This window comes from Homo sapiens, chromosome 7, assembly GCF_000001405.40.
Source record: "Homo sapiens chromosome 7, GRCh38.p14 Primary Assembly".
Classification (NCBI taxonomy): domain Eukaryota; kingdom Metazoa; phylum Chordata; class Mammalia; order Primates; family Hominidae; genus Homo; species Homo sapiens.
In genome coordinates this window covers 144,450,885-144,469,809 of record NC_000007.14, presented here as the reverse complement: position 1 = coordinate 144,469,809, position 18,925 = coordinate 144,450,885, and the positions used below count along the sequence as shown (strand labels likewise).

General features: G+C 38.5%; 1 protein-coding gene and 1 pseudogene across 40 annotated transcripts in view; one reads left to right on the top strand and one right to left on the bottom strand.

The window, feature by feature from the left end:
- TPK1 (thiamin pyrophosphokinase 1) overlaps positions 1–17,869 on the top strand; it is a 384,497-nt gene extending 366,628 nt beyond the window's left edge. For all 40 annotated transcript variants that reach the window (NR_146934.1, NR_146935.1, NR_146936.2 and 37 more), the window contains one exon: positions 16,147–17,869. Coding sequence is in view for 37 of the 40 variants with exons in the window: in XM_005249970.2 (XP_005250027.1) it covers positions 16,147–16,265 (119 nt within the window). In the remaining 3 variants the exon portion in view is untranslated. The remainder of the gene's footprint in view (positions 1–16,146) is intronic.
- Positions 17,993–18,129, bottom strand: RNU6ATAC40P (RNA, U6atac small nuclear 40, pseudogene; annotated as a pseudogene).

The window sequence follows — 18,925 nt, the reverse complement described above, 5'->3', positions numbered from 1 at the left end:
TTCTGTCACCCAGGCTAGAGTGTGTGGCACAGTTTTTCAAGAATCTATTCCTCTTTGATTCAGATATTATAAATACTAGGGCAACAGCAGAAGATAAAGACTGCTTAAATGGCAAATCTAGTAAATAAAAGTCATTAGTATGTTGAAGTATATTTAAATCTTGACTCAAGAAGAGATCAGTCACTCTCCAGTGAAGTGCCTGGGAGGATACAAGGAAGAAAGTACAGCAGGCCCTATACCAGAGGCAGGGCTGTGTCCAGATGCCTGAAATCATGCCAAGAATCTGGAGGTTCCTCATCCCTGTTGCCATGTACACATATAAACATATCTCTTAGATGAGAAGGAAAGAAACAATCTGCTGAGATGATTTCTTCATCCCTCAACAGGGAAATGAAATATGGGATAGGTTGTGTATGCCTTTGGATTTCTTTGGAAGGAAAAGACCTCTATGGAATAAGGGCCAAAATAGATAGTGTCAGTCCTGTTAATGCTTAGAACAAAAATACCTACAACACCTCAGCACCAATCCACAGGCCTGCAGCATGTCCTGTAGGAGATGCCTCTTTGACTCAGAGAAGAGGAGACACACATCACTGCCACTCCATCAATGAGTGGAAAATGAGATACCCCAGCACTAACAGAATGAAGCCTCAGAGGCTCACAGCCAGTACTCATAAGTGAAGCTGCCCCAAGCCTAAGATCAGAGGCAGCTGTTACTCCAGACACATCAGATGGCCTCAAGTGCCCAAGTAGAGGCCAGTCTGTAGTTACCTCCAAGCAAAGTATAGAACAGTGAGACATCACAACTATGTCCATCATCTCTGGAGGAAGAGGTTCACCAACACTCAGCAGGCACAACACTAAAAAGGCATATTGGTAATTATTCATCACATTTCTCCGATGGCGCTGATGTTTTAGGAAGAATAAGGGGGAGGATATCTGCTTTCCTAGATTGCTTTTTGCAAAGAGTGTCATGGATTAAGAAGAAAGGTGAGAGGTCAAAATGGTAGCCATCAAGAGGGTTCCACCCAATATTGATTGGACCACAATGAGTAGGTAAGATCCTGGTCATCAACAAGGTGCCACAAGGGTCTGAATCAGAGGTTGCCCCGAAACCCCCAACAACTAGATACCACTGATGGCATCAAAGGAACAGGGAGGAGCCAGGGTTCTTTCATGCCTTCCAGGCTAGATACTTGCAAGGAATATATGGGATTGTTTATTTCTTAATTAAGAATACAGAAAAGCTATCTCAGGCCATTTCTACACATACATACTAGTTGTGATTTGACAGGCTTTTTAAAAAATTAGTTCAATTTTAGTAGACTTTCTACCAAATTGATTAGAGTTGTAAATTTGTCTATACATACCAAGTAAATATGACTTCCTAACCTGCAGCTTTGATATAATATAATCTTAGTTTGTACAAACTTCATAACTCAGCTTTTGAGGAATGATTTTTTTAGTACAAAAACAAAATTGCCACTCTCCATCCCTGTCTCCAAATACTTCAAAATGAATGTTTTTTCTACATAGAAGGTTTGTAATCATCTTATCTTTGGTGTAATTGATGTCTGATATATTGATATTCTTTCAGTTGCAAATACAGCCATTTATAACAAGTGAATTTTTTTCTTCTCTAACAATATAGGTCTATTTTCCTAAATCATAAATAAAGGCTCTGTAGTTAGCCTTTCTTCTAATAATCTTGCCATATCAGCAGTGAAAGTGGATTAACTGAAATTTCACCTTTAATTTTTATCTAATGTGTTTACTACAGATACAGCAAAATGTTTTTACTAAAAGCCAAATATTGAACCATGTCTTAGCAGCTAAGCCTGTGTGACCATTTCCTCATTCCTCCTTGTCTAGACTGTTAATACTACTTAATTAAATAATGGCTGACACAACAAAAGAAACACTTCTATAGATAGTGGTTTATAAATGGAATTGGTGCATTTTCTAAATAAGAAAATGCAGTACAGAGTGTTTCAGTTAAGTACATTGTGTCCTGTGGTCTGTAGCTTACACAAAAATCAAGGATGAGAAACTTCTGAATCCATTTTGCCACCGGCTTGAAGCCTGTGACTTTAGTCAATCTACATGAATCACTAAGCTTTAGGAAAAAATAGGTAACATAGCCACATGTTCAAGCAATTCAGATATTCAGTATGTAGTTTTAATCATTTAACTTTGCTTAGCTAATCCAAAAATACTTCTGAGGAGCCAACCAATTTGTTAAAGCCCGTAATTTGACTTTGGGTTTTTAAAATTTATTATTTTTTTATATATATAGAGATGGGGTCTCACTATGTTGCCAGGCTGGCCTCAAACTCCCGGCCTCAAGTGATCCTCCCACCTCAGCCTCCAAAGTGCTAGGATTATAGACAGGAGGCACTGTGGCTGGCCCATAGTTTGATTTTGTTATAAGAGAGAATACACTGAGCTACAAGTCAACAGACTTGAATTTCAGTGCTGGGCATCCTAGGTCAATAAGGTATCTTTAATTCGTTTCCCTGTCTTGAAATAAAGTGTTTGGATATTATATCAGTGGCTCTTTAAATACATTCTCTGAAGCACTGAAGACCTAGCCAGTTCCCTAAGGCCAACTTGGTTTGGTTATGAGGTAAAGTCAAGTGAAGAGAACTTTGAGCCTAGCACTTTAAATTGGTTAAAGTAGGAGCAGCCTCACTTTTATCTGTATTAAACCACTGAACTAAATAATAGATAAGGTTTCTTGCAGATTAGACATTCTATAATAAAGGAAGTTAGACCAAGTCATATTTCTGCCCACAAGGAGCTTATAATCTAATTGGTAGAAAAAAATACTTGAACATTTAATGTGTAAGATAGTGTTACACATGTCAGCACTCCACAATGATATAGTAAAATGCTAAGTAGAAGGTTATAAATTTGAGGCTGGGATAATATGCAACTTTGCATGCAGATAGTTAATGCAAAGAAGGTTCATCAAAAAAAGAGAAGTTCAGCCTGTCATCAGGAAAAAGTCCATGGTATGAGTATTAAAAAATTGATTATTATAACGAGAACGAGAAAGAGAATATATTAATTGTGAATTAAAGTAGCTTGTTTCTAAGAATGGCTAATATTTTCAGACTTGTTAGAATATTCATATAAGAAGATGACAGCTATTCCTAAATTGAAATAATGTTATTGTATATCAGCAAGGGGAAATTAAAAATGAAAATAGGTCATGATGAAATATATTAGGAGCAAGCTTGTATATTTATAGGTTTATGGACAAAGTCTAAGACATTGCTTCATTACCTTTGCTATAACAAATCATATCTGTTAATATTAGACCATCTGAACTTAAATCAAATGATGTTTTCCCCAAAAGGCAGCGGTCAGACTCTCACTAAATGAAATTCTATTCTAAAAACAGCCATATGATTGAATGGATTCTGCTTGATGGTAAACACTCATCCCCTATTTCTGTGTTGTAAATATTTTTCCACAAGACAATGAAAAGCCACCATGACCACTGAGATTTCATTTTCGGGACTGTCACAGTTTCAGGCTGAGATATAAGAAAGAACCATCTATTATTAAAGGAGCAGAGGTCAAGTCATGCCGGTGGCCCTCGTAGGGTAAAGCAGGGGTCGGGGAGGGGCTGGTGCAGGAGGGTGGCAGGAGATCTGGAGGAGCTAGAGTGGCAGGTACTCACTGTAACAGGGAATCTCGAGTGGGCAGTGGAGCCAAAGAGGAAAGCAGGGCACCGCGTAGGGACACAGGCAGCAGGGAAGATGCCTTTGTGAGAGGAGCGGGAATTTCACCAGCAAGAGGTGGCCTGAGTGGACCAGTTGGTCTGGCTGAATTGATCAAGATTGAGCCAGAATCTTAGAGGGATTTACATGGCAAATCTTTCAGAACTTCAAGGGCTTTCTGTAAATTCAAGGATTCAGTCATCTGGTTAATTTGACTAGATCTTCCCAAGCACAAATAAATGGAAAATTGACTTCTAATAGTACCTAACCTTCACTCCGATATTTCCGGCTTTTGAACTTTACCAAAGGTAACCTCCCAGGTGCTCAGCGAAAGGAAAATTTAAGATAGTACATGAAGGAGAAGAGACTAGACAAGGTCATGCAGAAATTAAATGAAAAGGCTTTTATTTCACAAGCAGGGAATCGAAACCAGACCACCAGTAAGAAAGGGCAAAGCCTTAGCAACTGAGCTACAGCATAGGGCAGTCTTCACTGTTCTTCCCAGAAAGCATCTAGAATAGTTAATTGTGAGCTTACACAGGCTTTTAACTACTCAAGATAATTTTTAGAGCTAATTATGACATAAACCCTAAAATTCCTGTTCCCTGGAAGGAGGAGACCAAGAGAAAGTACTGCCACGTGGTAACAAGGTCAAGCTCCCAAGGACATAAAACAAGATGGAGATAAACAGTGATTTTTACCATTCAGTCAACCATTTGCACAGAAAGAGAGAAGCCAGAAGTCTGACTGGTAAGAAATTCTTACCCTTTTGCCGGCATGCCAGGCTTCTGGGTTCTCTTTGCCTGAGCGGCCTCCATGACTGAGCTTGCCACACCATCGCGCTGGGGCAAAGCCACATCAGAAAAGAAAATTATCTTTTTCTGTTCTGGCCAGAGTAAAATACATGTGACAAAAACATAGACATTAGCTGCTCTGATTAGCACCCAGTATCAAACTGGCAAGGCTCAAATTTGCACCTGGTTGGGCTCCATCATCATTAATCCAACCTCCAACCAGGAGTTTCAACCTGTGGTCTCTGGGCAAGATGGTTGCCCTGAGTAATAGAAAAGATAAGAAAGAGAAAGGAGAAAGAGAAAAGCATTGCCTGAGGCAGGGTGGGGAAGGTGAAATGATCTGGGAGGCCAGAGAAAGACCCACCCATTGCAGCGACACTGAAAAAAAAGTTCAGGCGGCTGCTTCTAGGTAGCGAAGGGATCTTTTCCAGCAGGCCCATCATCTCTCAAGTTTCCCCTTTTAGGGAGGAAAAAGCTCCCCATGTCCCACGATCCTGTACATGCCTAATCCTGTCACCCACAGTTGTCAGCAAAGAGTGCAAGGCAGATTATTCCAAAGAGAATAGCAGTTGACATGCTGTAGTGCCAAACCCATTCTTAGACAAAAGGGACTTTACTTAGAGCCCTCATTTTAAAAATGTACTTCAAATGCATTGTTGTTCATTCGGAACATTCCACTGTGTTATCTTTAGTAACATTTTGCTGTTTCTGTAAGACTTCGCTGCCTCCCAGGCCTGAAGTGTAAGCCAGAAAGAACTCAGTTTTCCAGAAACTAAGGATCCCATTTTTACCTAAAATATTGGCCTTACGCTCAGCTTCTCTTGATTAACTTAGCCAGTGATTTTTTTTTCCTACCCAAGTGTAAGAAAAATGAAACAAAGGGGTATAACACAAAAATCTGATTTTTCAAAAGCCAAATTTTATAACTCCTGCAATATTACTGCTTACTACCAGTTCCTTTCTGACCCAGTCAGATGTAAGAGGCTTCTAACTGGATCCAAGCCAGTTAATTCCCAGATCAAATCCATTCCTGTACCCAGTCCAGTTTCTGTCACAACTCCAAACCCAGTTTGGATCAGAAATTTGCTCAAAGAAACTCAGAGAGCTCAAAACACAAATCTGTGGAGCTGGGAAATCCAAGAGGGAGCTTAACCATGATCCCCAGTGGCTGTGAGAGATCAGTGGAGCTCGGAAATCCAAGAGGGAGCTTACCCATGATCCCCAGTGGCTGTGAGAGATCAGCGGAGCTCCGAAATCCAAGAAGGAGCTTACCCATGATCCCCAGCAGCTCTAAGAGATGAGTGGACACAAGTGGGTCCTGCAGGTACCTTGCATATTCACTCAGCACTGCTGGGGGATGCTAGAAGCTCCATTTTGGATCCCACTTCTGACACCATCTGATAAAAGAAAAACTTCAGCCGAATTAAATTTAAAAGAGTTCAATTGAGCAGTGAACGATTTGCAAATCCGGCAGCCCCCAGAATCACAGCAGATTCACAGAGACCCTCTTGACTGGTAAATTCTAAAAGGGCCTGGATTATGTCTCTTTAGCTTATTTGTATAAATACCACCTGCAGGTTTGAGATTGATGTTAAGTAATCATACCATGCTACTGCACATGTTCCTCTCTTTTTTCACTTTTCTATGACATTTCTGTTTGTTTGATGTACCTGTAATAATCTCTGTTGACATTTGAAGGATAGAAGCAAATGCCACTTTAAAGCTTCCTCAGTGCAGATGAAATGATGATAATAATACAACACATTTTCAACACTTTTCTGGAGAAGTCAAAGCTCTTCACAGACATTAACTCATTCATCTTCACGATAGCAGTATTAGAGGTAACTGGGGACAAGTATTATTGGCATTTTACAAATGGATGCTGAGGTCACCTGAGGGACTTTTAACAAAAGTCATAAAATATTACAGTGAAAAGATCAACTCTCTGTTTTCAGGGATGGCACTGAGGCCCAGCAGTACAAAATGACTTGCCTTGCTCTACAGCCGGGCAGCAAGAGATTAGGATGGCTGCGACTCAGTCATCTTTGGCATCTGCAGGTCATAATTCTCACCCCTGTGGGATGGTTTTGGGGCAGGCCAGTGTCCACAGGAGGCAACACCAAGACACAGGATTTGAAGGCAACAGAGCAAAATAAATCAGTTCAGAACAGCCTGTGGACAGCCTTTCTCTTTGAACAAACGTTTAAATCTGATACTGATTTTCCACACTGAAAATTTTCACAGAGTTCTACACAGTTCATTCACTTTACCACTAATAATTAATGCAAAAAGGTCACATTTTGTGGATTTGGACTGTGGTTCTTATTTTATAAGCCCAGTAAGCTTTTCTTTTTTCTTAAAGCAGCTCTGATTGGCTCTTTAACTGGAACATGGGGCCTTTTATGAGTAGAACATGCTGATGACATAATACATTAGGGAATTCTCTTTAACAAATAAAAATAACGATTTTGTTTATTTTAGAAAGGGCTAAATGTTTGAAACTGATGATCTTTGTAAACATTTTCTAACTGGCATAATTAGTTTTGATTCCTCCAAGCAGCAGCATTTTCCTGGCCTAATTGTTTTTCGATCAACAGGCCGAGTCATAACACAGAAAATGTGGAGAAGGAAGAATAATTGAACATCAGAAGCCTTCTAATGCATTCCAGTCCTCATCCAAGGGCAAGGGAAATGTGACTTCTGAGAGAGAAGAAGATAAATGCAGCCAGTTTCAAATAGAATTATAATAGCCCTTCCTTGGACATTTGAGTTCAAGGAAGGATTAGTTGTCAGGAGAGGGAGGTGATGAGTGTTCACCTTGGGAAGAGTCTTAGTAGATCAGGGTTTTGAGAGATAAGGCTCAAAAAGAAAGCACAGCTGATGGCTTGTTATCAGAGACATGCATAACAATAAGTCTTGCTCTTACCATTTTCACAAGCACTAAGAAGTTCTGGTAGACACTGCAAGTTAATTTCCAGGGCCTCCTGCATCAATGAGTGGAAGTAAAGGCTGTCCTTGGTGAGCTTCAATGAGTTGACAAAGGAAGGGGCCTCACCACACACAGTCTGTGTGCTCAGCATCTCTCTCTATACTTTTCCAAGAAGCTGCAATGCAGATATATCATAGACTAGATAATTTCTTCCTAAATTTGGCACACTTTTTTTCAACTTGGATTTATTTTGATGCACGTTAAATCAATAAACATTTCTTAATGCTTTGCAATGGCATTACTTCAGCTTTCAGGGAAACCAAAGGTGAACCAAGAGGGAAACACTTCCCTTCCTAAGTTGCTAGCCTTTCTTCCCAAATTTTTTCCCCAAATTGTATTGTGGAATTTTAATGTTGAATAACTTCAAACCTACAAAAAAACTGAAGGGACAGTACAGCAAAATCTGTATACCTTTCACTGAGATTCACCAAGTGCTAACATTTTTTTTCTACATTTGCATTTATTTCTTTGTATGTGTACTAGGCCATTCTTGCATTGCTGAGGCTGGGTAATTTACAAAGAAAAGAGGTTGAATTGGGCTTATGGTTCTGCAGGCGGTACAGGAAGCATCATGTCAGCATCTGCTTCTGGGAAGGCCTCGGGAAGCTTTTACCCATGGCAGAAGGCAAGGCAGAAGCAGGCACTCACCACAGGGAAATCAGGAGCAAGAGAGAGATTGTGGGGAAGGTGCCATGCACTTTTAAATGACCAGATCTTGAGAGAACTCACTATCTCAAAGACAGCACCAAGCCACGAGGGATCCACCCTCATAACCCAAACACCTCCCACCAGGCCCTTCCTCCAGCATCAGAGATTACAATTCAACATGAGATTTGGGCAGGGACAAATCTCCAAACAATATAATATGTGAGTATGAGTGTATGTGCATTACATTCTGAACTATTTGAAAATAAGTTGAAGGCATGATAATAATAAACACCTGAAATTCCTCAGCTTGTATCTCCTAGGAACGAGGTCATTCTCTTGCATAACTACAGTGCTAATATCTACCCCCAAAATGTAACATTGATGGAATAATAGTGTACAGTCCATATGCTTACTCCCCAAGTGTCCCAGTAGTGCTCTTTATAACTTTCTAAAATCTGGAGTCTACTAAAAAAACATGCATTGTATTTAGTTGTCATATCTGTTTAGTCTGTTTTTTTTTTTTTTTTTTTTTTTGAGACGGAGTCTCGCTCTGTCGCCCAGGCTGGAGTGCAGTGGCGCGATCTCGGCTCACTGCAAGCTCCGCCTCCCGGGTTCACGCCATTCTCCTGCCTCAGCCTCCCGAGTAGCTGGGACTACAGGCGCCCGCTACCACGCCCGGCTAATTTTTTGTATTTTTAGTAGAGACGGGGTTTCACCGTGTTAGCCAGGATGGTCTCGATCTCCTGACCTCGTGATCCGCCCGCCTCGGCCTCCCAAAGTGCTGGGATTACAGGCGTGAGCCACCGCGCCCAGCCTAGTCTGTTTTAATCTAGAAAAGTCCCTTCACTTTTTTGGTCTTTCATGACACTGACAGCTTTTAAGAGTTCAGGCCCACTAACCTGTCATCTGCCCCCATTCTGCATTTGTCTACGGTTTCCCCATGATTCAATTCAGGTCAGGCATTTTTGGCCAAAAGTATTAATGGGTGATATTGTATTCATCCCTAGCATCATAGCAGGAGGCACATGATATCAGTATGGCCTTTTATTGGTGATGCTAAGGTTGATCATTTAGCTAAGATCGGACTCATGAGATCACTCTGCTACCTTTTTTTCCTTTGAAGTTAAAAGCAATACGTGGAGTACTGCTTTGGAACTGGGTGCTATCCTTCTTCTCCACATTTTATCCAGTAGTTTAAGCATCCATCCATTGATGGTTCTTGCCTAAACTAGTTATTACACTGGTGGCTGCAAATGGTGCCTTTCTAATTCTCTAATTCTGCCATTCCTTCCTTTAGTAGTTGGCATTCTTCTGTAAATAATAGGTTTTCTTCTCTCCACCTGCTTTTGGCAATTCATTATTCAATATATTATAATGCCTCTCTCTCTCAGGATTCTTTTCTAATGCCCCAAATTAGTTCCAGTCGTTGTGTCCTTTTCACAGGTCTACATCTGTTTTTGAGCACCCTCTTGCTTTCTGGAGCAAGATGTTTCAAGCTCACTCTGTACTTTGCCTGCTTGAGACGAGGCATCTAAACAGTCAGCTTTAAATACAAAGTGTGTTCCAGGGAAGCAATCAAGTCCTTTGTAAATAGAAAAGAGAATTTTTAATTTGTCCTGTAGCAGTTGGAGAATCAAAGAGCGGTACAGGGTAGCAAGTGACATTGAGTTTAGACTTGAAGGATAAAATATGCAGAGAAAAGTCAATTTGTTCTCGGAGGGAACACGTCAAAAATTTTCGTAGAAGCAGGAAATTCCTGATCTATTCAAGGAACAGCAAGTAGCAGAGAGTGGCTGGCAAGCAGGTAGGAAGTAGCCAGATAACAAAGGGCCTTAAGTGCCATGCCAGGATGTTTGGGCCGGGAAGAGGGAATGTGTTTGTTTTGAACATTTCATTATAGGCAATTAGGGTCCTCCAGTTATTCTTTCACAAGTGTTAGAGGAGTGGGAAGAGAAGGTAATAATTGGGAGAAAAGAGTACAATTAGAAGATTATTTGCAATTATTAGAAGAAAAATTAGAAGATTATTTGCAGGTACAATTAGAAGATTGTAAGTATCTTTTTTGTATAATGACTTCTTTTCCTCTGAGTAGATACCCAATAGTGGAATTGGAGATCATTATTCTAAGTGAAGTAACTCAGAAATGGAAAACCGAACATCATATGTTCTCACTTATAAGTGGGAGCCACACTATGAGGATACAAATGCATAAGAATGATACAGTGGACTTTGGGGACTTGAGGGTCTTGGGGGAAAGGGTGGGAGGTGAGTGAGGGATAAAAGACTTCAAATTGGGTACAGTGTACACTGTTTGGGTGTTGGGTACACCAAAATCTCACAGATCACTACTAAAGAACTTACTCATGTAACCAAACACCACCTGTTCCCCAAAAACCTATGGAAATAAATGAATAAATAAAATAAAATAAAAATAAATAACTCCCTCCCCCCTTCAAAAAAAAGGAAGATTATTTGCCACATGTCCAAGCAGGCATTTATTTATTCTATACCTTATAGAATGTAGTATATATTCTCTTGGTAATTTCACATTAGGTTTGCTTGGATTTTGGATTTTTGGTTGTCCTTTCTACAGTTCCTGCTAGATAGTTCTCAGCCTTCAAGTTGAAGGGCAGAGGACTGAGTCTGTCTTGCTGCTGAACACATGTTAAGTATTTAAGTGTTTGTTGATCCACTCACATCGTAAGTTCAAATCACTCAAAATGATTGTATATGCACACTTTGAATTTAATGTTCTCTTTATAACCTCGGACTCTGTGACCGCATAGCTACATATGAAATGAAAATTACTATCTATATAATCAAACCAAAAAATAATGTTCTTCTGAAAAAAGCAGATAATTGAATCATAAATATAGTTCCTGCTTCAACAACCTAGAACTGCACTGTTCAATCTATATAGTAACCACTAGCTACGTATGGCCACTGAATACTTAAAATGAGCCTTGTCCAAGTTAAGACATGCTGTAAATGGATTTCAGAGACTTAGTATGAAAAAGGAATGTAAAAGACCCCAAATTTTATATATTGATTATGTTAAAATGATTTTGGATATATTGGGCTAAATAAAAAAGATATTAACATTTTTCCTATTTTTACTTTTTTAAGGTGGCTATTAGAAAATTTAGATTTGTGATCACTTATTTTTATTTGGCAGTGCTGAGATAAATAAATATATTTATTTTATAGATGGTCTCAAACTTGTATTTTCTAAGATTCTAATAGAAATATAAGTACACAAAAGACATGTACTCCACAGCTTTACATTAGGACTACTTTGAGTTTTTTACTTCAAGAAAGTGAAAACACAACATATTGATTTTATTTTTGAAAATTTTCAAGAGCAACCATAAGTATAAATGCCATTTTATAAGAAACAAATTCACTAATAACCCTTCCCAGAATTCATATTTTACAGTATAAATTGGCAATTTTTAAAATATAATCTTTTGCCTCATGTGTGTACATAAAAGACCTTTTTTTAAAAAATATATTTGTCAAAAATTAAAATTGTAAAGACCTATAATAGTGAACTGATGTTACAGACAGTATAGTTTTCTTTTCCTGGTAATGAAATCTGAGTCATATTTTCTTAATGTGTTGCCATTTCTCCACATAGGCTAAGAATCCTCAGAGAGTAAATGGTGAGTGTAGACAGTGGTCCCATTATGTTTTAAATAGTTAGTGATGTCTAATATGTCTAACTTAACTCTCCGAACTTAACCTAATGTTCCAGAATGGTAGGGAGCCTTAAGATTCATCATAATGGGTTCATTAAGCATTTGTCTATATGAGATGTAAAGTATTCATTAAGTCTTAGAGTGATTTTTAGGCTCTCACTAATGCATCTCCTTAAGTCTCCATCAGGCTGCCAAAAGACAGCTCTGTACTTCAGGAGAACAGACCAGCAACAGTTCTCTTCTTTAGAGCTCTTCAAAGCATCGCCTTAACCTCCCTTACTAACTTGTTAGTGTCTGACAACTTTTATTATCATCATAGCCTGTGATTTTAGCCTCTCTGAGCTTCATTTTCCTCATCTCTAAATGGAAGATAAAACCTGGCTATGCCTTGAGTGGCTGGTGTACTGTAAGGACTCAGATCACGTCTTGAATGAATAAGGATTATGCCCATCTCAAATAGCACCTCCATTTTGCCCTCAGGATTTATTGATTTTAGAAATGTTTCCATTGCCTTTTTAAATAATGTATTTATTTTTACAAAAGAACCAGCGTCGATCTACAGATTCTTGGGAAGCCAGGCCAGCGGGCAGGCCTCTAGGGATGCCAGTAGCCCCCCACTGTCAAAGGCTTCACCTCCCTCTTGAATACACAACCCATCTTGGCTGCCAGGAAGGCACCTCTGCCCTCCTTGGCCCACCTCATGCTTCTCTCCTGTCTGCTGGGTTTGATTGTATATCTTTCCCTTTTACTAAAATGTGAGTCCTCATTTTAGTGAGGGCAGAGATACTCATCCTTAAACCCTAGTGCCTGGCACAGAATGAGGCTTTAATATCTATTAAATAAATGCATACATACATGCAGGCCAAGGAATCACCTGAAATGATGTTAAGTATTTCACAAAAGCTAGCCTGGAAAAGTTACGAGTGTACCTCATTCTACTTCTCAGCTGGCTATAAACTAATCACTTGAATTCAGGCCTTTGCTAATTGTTCAGCTCATGACATCTCTCTTTTTGTTAATTTTAAAAGAAAAACCTGATCTGTTTTATCAGCAGGATAACAGGAGAAAGCAAAGAAGATGGAAATTACTTGAATATGTATCATATGTAAGATTGGCCACATAATCCATACAACTTCCCTGTGAAGTAGATACTTTCTACATATTTACTGTTGATGACACAAGGCCAAAGAGTTTAAATAACTGAGTTTGTAAAGCTGGTGAATGGTAGAGCCAGGGTTTGAACCTAGATCTAACTTATTAACTTCATCATGATGGAGTCATGCTCTTTGATAGAGAGATGCCTTTTCTATAAAAGCACCTGATCAGAAAAGTCATGCAGGTACACAGAGAATGAATGCCTCCCACTGTTGCTTTTCAGTGCCAAAAGCATCCAAGGCCTTGCAGAGTACTCCTTCATGCTTCCAGCTCCAACCAAGGAGCCACAGTTCACTAATGTAGCTTGTGGAGGAAAGATGGGCAAGAAACCAGGGACAAATGGCCCCACTAACTGAAAAGAGTTGAATAATTGGTTTCCACCGATTTGCCAGCTCTTGCTTTGTAGTCCCCTGTTTTTCCAGCTTTAGAGAAAAGCTGGGAGGACATCACTGAAAACAATAGAACACGGAGTGCTAATTCTCGTCCTTACCTTTGGGAAATAAAACAGCCTGAGATAATGGATGAAAATTGTAAAATCTATGTTAATGTGTTTATCACACAAAATATCGTTGCTTATAAGCTTGCACATAGATCTGTAACTTTTATTTTTGCCTTTTGTTAAAAACGGGTCTTGATCTGATGACTGGTTGTCTTTGAGCAACTACGGTTGGCTGTAGTCTACTCTGCAAACAATGGGGGGAAAAATCCAAGTCAGATTTTCTATAATTCAGCCAGCTAAAGTGTTGGACAAATCCTCTAGGGTAGAAACGAAGAGGTAATTTGTTTTTCTACTATCTGTACACAGCTGTCTCTTTACTAGTTTCATGTACTTATGTCATGATTGGCCTTCAGATATTTGGGGTAGAGGAAGTTCATCATAATTCCAAATATTTTCCTTAAAATTTTTTTATTTTTCTAAGGTTTTGTCCAAAAATATGATTCTGTGACTTGAAGAAAATATATTCCAAAATAATTGTAATGACATAGTAAATTAAAATTCATGACTTTGTCTCTCAACTTATTCATCTTAGTTTTCTATCATTTTTATTGTACTTTCCATAAAGTTAGAGATAATCAAAACCAATTGTTATCTTTAATTAATTGTAACTATATAACTGGTCTTGTTGGAACTTTAAATATTATAAAATAAAATAAAAACATAATTTACAAGTATGGCTAACAGTGGCCTTGCTTAACTCAAAGAAATATTTCCTTCCAAAAAAAAATTTCATCTTCTTATGCCCAAATAAACCACTTTGATTATTTTCCCATTTGAAAATTAATTAGGCTACAACAGTGTCTTCCAAACCCAGTATGTATAATCCAGGTATTTACCCCTGAAATTCTGAAATCCATAGTCTGGCTTCAAAAATCAGAAAGGAATTTATATGCAGCTATAAACTTGAAGCACAATTTTGTACTCCTGTTCTTTGGGCCTAAGTAAAAACTAGGATTTTAATCCATTTTCTCGAATCATATAATGTGTGTGTCAAATCCAAGTCGGTTGTGCATGCATGGGTCTTCACGAGGGAGTTTCCACTTTAAAGTTGGCAGGCCTGCTGAAGCACTCTAAATTGCCTTCGCAATGAAGTGGTGTGAAGTGCTCCCTGATTGCCTCCCTCTTGGCTATTGGGAAAACCTTGAAACCGTAGGCCTGGGATAGGTCTCAGTAAGCTACTTGGTAAGCACCCAGGTTCCAGGCAAGACCACTATTCAGGAGAGGTAGAGATTTCAATTGACTTTGCTGTGAATCCCTCAAAGATCACCACCCTGATCTACCAACTATGTAACAGTGTCTAGATCGATACATATTTTTGTGTATATCACCAGTGTTCAGAAACATCATCTCACAGAAGTCCCAAGTCCCAAATGACTCAAGAGTTAAGAGCTTCCTATATTGAAGTTCGTATCAGGGCAATATTCACATGAGATTCACTCTGTATTACTGTGTAGTTTTACTTTTGTGTTTGCACTAGTAAAAACATAAAGAACTATGAAAAATAATTTGAGTTTTAATAAATAAGCTGTGTGAACTGGTAATACTGACAATAGATTATCTTGCAGTACTGTTCCTGAATTTTTAAATTGCCTTTTCAAGATTTCCTCAGAAAGATAGGAGGCTCCCTCTAGTGGGAAGTGAGCATTGTAATTGATTGATTTCCCCCAAAGCAGTGTGTATAACTTCATAGGTGTTGTTTGAAGGAAAAGGGGCCTCTTCTGACTCTGATAGTTTGGGCTCCATAACATTTGTTCATTTTTCTCTCTGAATTTTGGTAAAGAAAATAATATTGGTTACCAAGGGATGCTTATAGGACAGCTGTGAGTTTAGAGTCATGTTGATGAAGTGAATTGCTCCTGTATCAGCAAAGAGAGGTTGACGTTACCAATCTGTGCTTAGGCATTAACTTGTTAGAAAATAAAAAATATATTTATAGCTATATATTTATGAAATGTATAAATATATGAATTCTAATCTTAATTCATAAGCCTTTTACTTTGATAAGTAGTTTAAAGGATTATCTTATCATCTCTTGCCTTCACTTTATGGCTGAGCTTAAGTGACTTGCTCAAGATTACACATTTGAAAGTCGGCTTTGACCTTTGAGTTTCTATTAATTTTACAGAATGTAAGCTGTATTCACTTTGGCTTTTCTTACTTTATGAGAAAACAGTAACCAAAATCACATGCATTTTTTTAGGTAATTTTCTATCTGTCTCATATCATTTCTACTTGAAGCTAAAACTACATTCTGTAGAGTGTAATAACATATTAAATTTTAATTCTGAATTATCAAGAGAAACTAAAATTGTACCCAGGGAAGGAAGTAAGTAGCACATTACAAATACAGGTTTTGGTTTTATAATTAGTAAAGAAAAAGAAAAGATTCTAATAAAATTTAATATTGAGAATGATATATAACCCAAAATGGTCAATAACCAATTCCAGGAAGAATGTTTACAGCAAGTTATAGAACTTACCCATTTTAAAGCCATACATCATATATTTCACCTATCCCACATTTATATATATTTTTATCAAAGTGTGTACTTGCTTTTTGGTAAGTGACAAAGTTAATCTACACTGGAGGAAGAAAAAAAATAGTTACTAATTTTTTTCCCTTATTTTCTTACAGCAAATGATGTGCTTGCTTTTGGAACATTGGTCAGTACTTCCAATACCTACGACGGGTCTGGTGTTGTGACTGTGGAAACTGACCACCCACTCCTCTGGACCATGGCCATCAAAAGCTAACCTGTTGACTGGCATCCATAAGTGTGCCTCTGCCTTATCTCATTTCTCAACAGTTCATTGCTCAACAAGAACGATTCACCTGGGTTTGCAAGAATCTAAACCTCTCTAGGGGAAGCCCACTGGGTTTAAAGATGTTAGTGTTTAGATAATACAGGTAACATTATAAATGACAGATCTCAATTTTATAGTAGTGGGAAAGATACATGCTAAGAAAGCAAATAAGCTCTATTATATTCGGTTGGAACCTAATGGGAATCATTCCACTATACAATTCAGTACTGATTATTCTTCTTACATTATTAATCATTCCATTTATCCTAGAAAATTGTTTTTAATTTGAATCAGAGAAAACTGTTGAGGTTCCTCTTGGAGTCTAGAACATCCTTAAATGTCTAACAACAAGGGCTACCTCTGAGTACCTTTTAGTATTAGTTTTCTGTATATGATATATATTATCTTATACTGAAAAAAAATTCCTTTCAGATTGGGGTGTTAGAAGTGCACCAGGTCACTCTGACCTTATTACTGTCTTTGGTATTGTCTTAAATAAATCAAGAATCATTGACCTAATTGTTAAATTTAAAAATAGGTAGTTAGCAATAGGTGGAAAGAGAAATGATGTGAAAGATAAATGATGATTCGTGGAGCCCTACTCACACATTAACCCCCAAATTCAAAAGTAAGAATGCAAAAGTCTAGAGGGGGTAACAGTCTGCATCATCATCACAACCTAAATGGAGAAAGCTGTGCAGAGGAAACTTAAGCATAAAAATTGAATTCGTTTCTGACATACCTTAGACTGAAAAACTGTTGGTTCATCCAGAAGTGTATTCATATTACCAGAAAATGAGTTTGTCTATGGGGATACATGAACTTCATATACTAAGGAGCCTAACTCCAAAGCCTGCGTTCTCATCCCAGTCTGATATTCACCTAAGTTTCCGGACCCTTTTCCTTAGCTGTAAAATGGAAGCGGTTGGACTGATGGTGTCTGAGGTTCTTTCCCACACTGAAATTCTAAATATTGACACTTAGCAGTCATAGGGCTGATAATACACACAGTTACTGACTTAGCCTAAACAACCTGGTGCATCGAAATGTATTCACCTTTCTTTTGTAAAGAGACCATCTTCTATCTTCTTTCCACCTTTCTCTGTTTTATGAAACCAACTGTTGACATACAAACCATGATTGAAGGAGAACCTGTCCAACATGTTTTATGTACACAAATCCCTATGTTGCTATAAGAAAAGTGAAAGTAACTGTTTTCTTCTTGGTGCTATGACAGTGTGAGACTCAGGTTGTCTGTAGAGAATGAAAGGAGCAGTGGCCCGCGTGATTGTGGCATTTAAGGAGCAGTGGCCCATGTGACTGTGGCATTTTCGGCACTTTTCATTACTTTCTGCTTGACCGGAAGTTGAGGCTTAGCTATGTTTCCATCTTCAGTTTCTGAAGACTAGTTATATATTCCTTACTAGAAATATATTCATAATATATAAAAGAAATATATCTGTGATTTTAAAATTTTGCTACCAAAGAATGCATGTTCTGTGTGCCCTGAAAATGTTACCAGTGTTAATAAATGGATACTTATCAAAAAAGAATATAGTTTCCTGAAGCTTAGTAAATATTGGGGGACAGGGGATAAAAAAAAGCACTGAGGCTTATCTCACACCATCACCTGAGTATCAGGCTGTAGCCATTGGGGGCCCACAGAAGGGGTTCTCTTAAAACATAGGCCACCATTCCCAGTTCCTGCCAGGCTACTGAGGAGTTAGGTGCTAGTTTTAACCATATGTGTGTTGTCAGGCCCGAGGGCCTCTTCCATTCTTGTCAAGGGGAGTGCTAACCTTTCATACAGCGCTAGGTGCTGGTTTTATTACAGTCAGCCCTCTGTATCAGTGGGTTCCACATCCATACATTCAGTCAATCAATCATGGATTGAAAATATTTGTAAAGAAAAGAATGGTTGCATCTGTACTGAACACAGACAGACATTTTTCTTGTCATTATTTCCTAAACGATACAGTACAACAACTGTTTACTTAGCATTTATATTGTATTGGGGATTTTAAGTAATCTAAAGATGATGTAACATATACGGGAGGATGTACATAGGTTATATGCAAATACCACATCATTTTATATCAGGGACTTAAGTATACCATCCACAGATTTTGGTATCTGCAGGTTGGGGGTTGGAGAAGTTGTCCTGGAACCAGTCCTTGCAGATATCAGGGGATGACTATATTTCACCCCTTCCCATTCCTTAAAACTACCTAAGTATGTTTTTCTCTTTATGTGCTATCCCACCGTGGCAGTTAAGTATTCACTTATTTTTATAACAATACAAGTCTGCAGATAGTGAGATCTCAGGTACACCCAGTGAACTATCTGAGCCCCCCTGGGAAGTCCCTCTTCTCTTACTCCTGTTCAGTTCAGATCCTGACCTCCAGCTTGTAGCCATAAAAGAGACTGCAGGTTGGGCCCTGCTGGGAAAGTGACAGGTGCTCCTTGACCTTCTGACTCCAGTCACTTTCTTATTTCTATGGGTCGGATTTGTAGCATTTATAAATCTAGTTATTGTCACCCCCAAATGTCATCTGTCTACCTAAATCACTGATTAGTGAAAACATGCTATGATCTCACTTCTCTTTAGA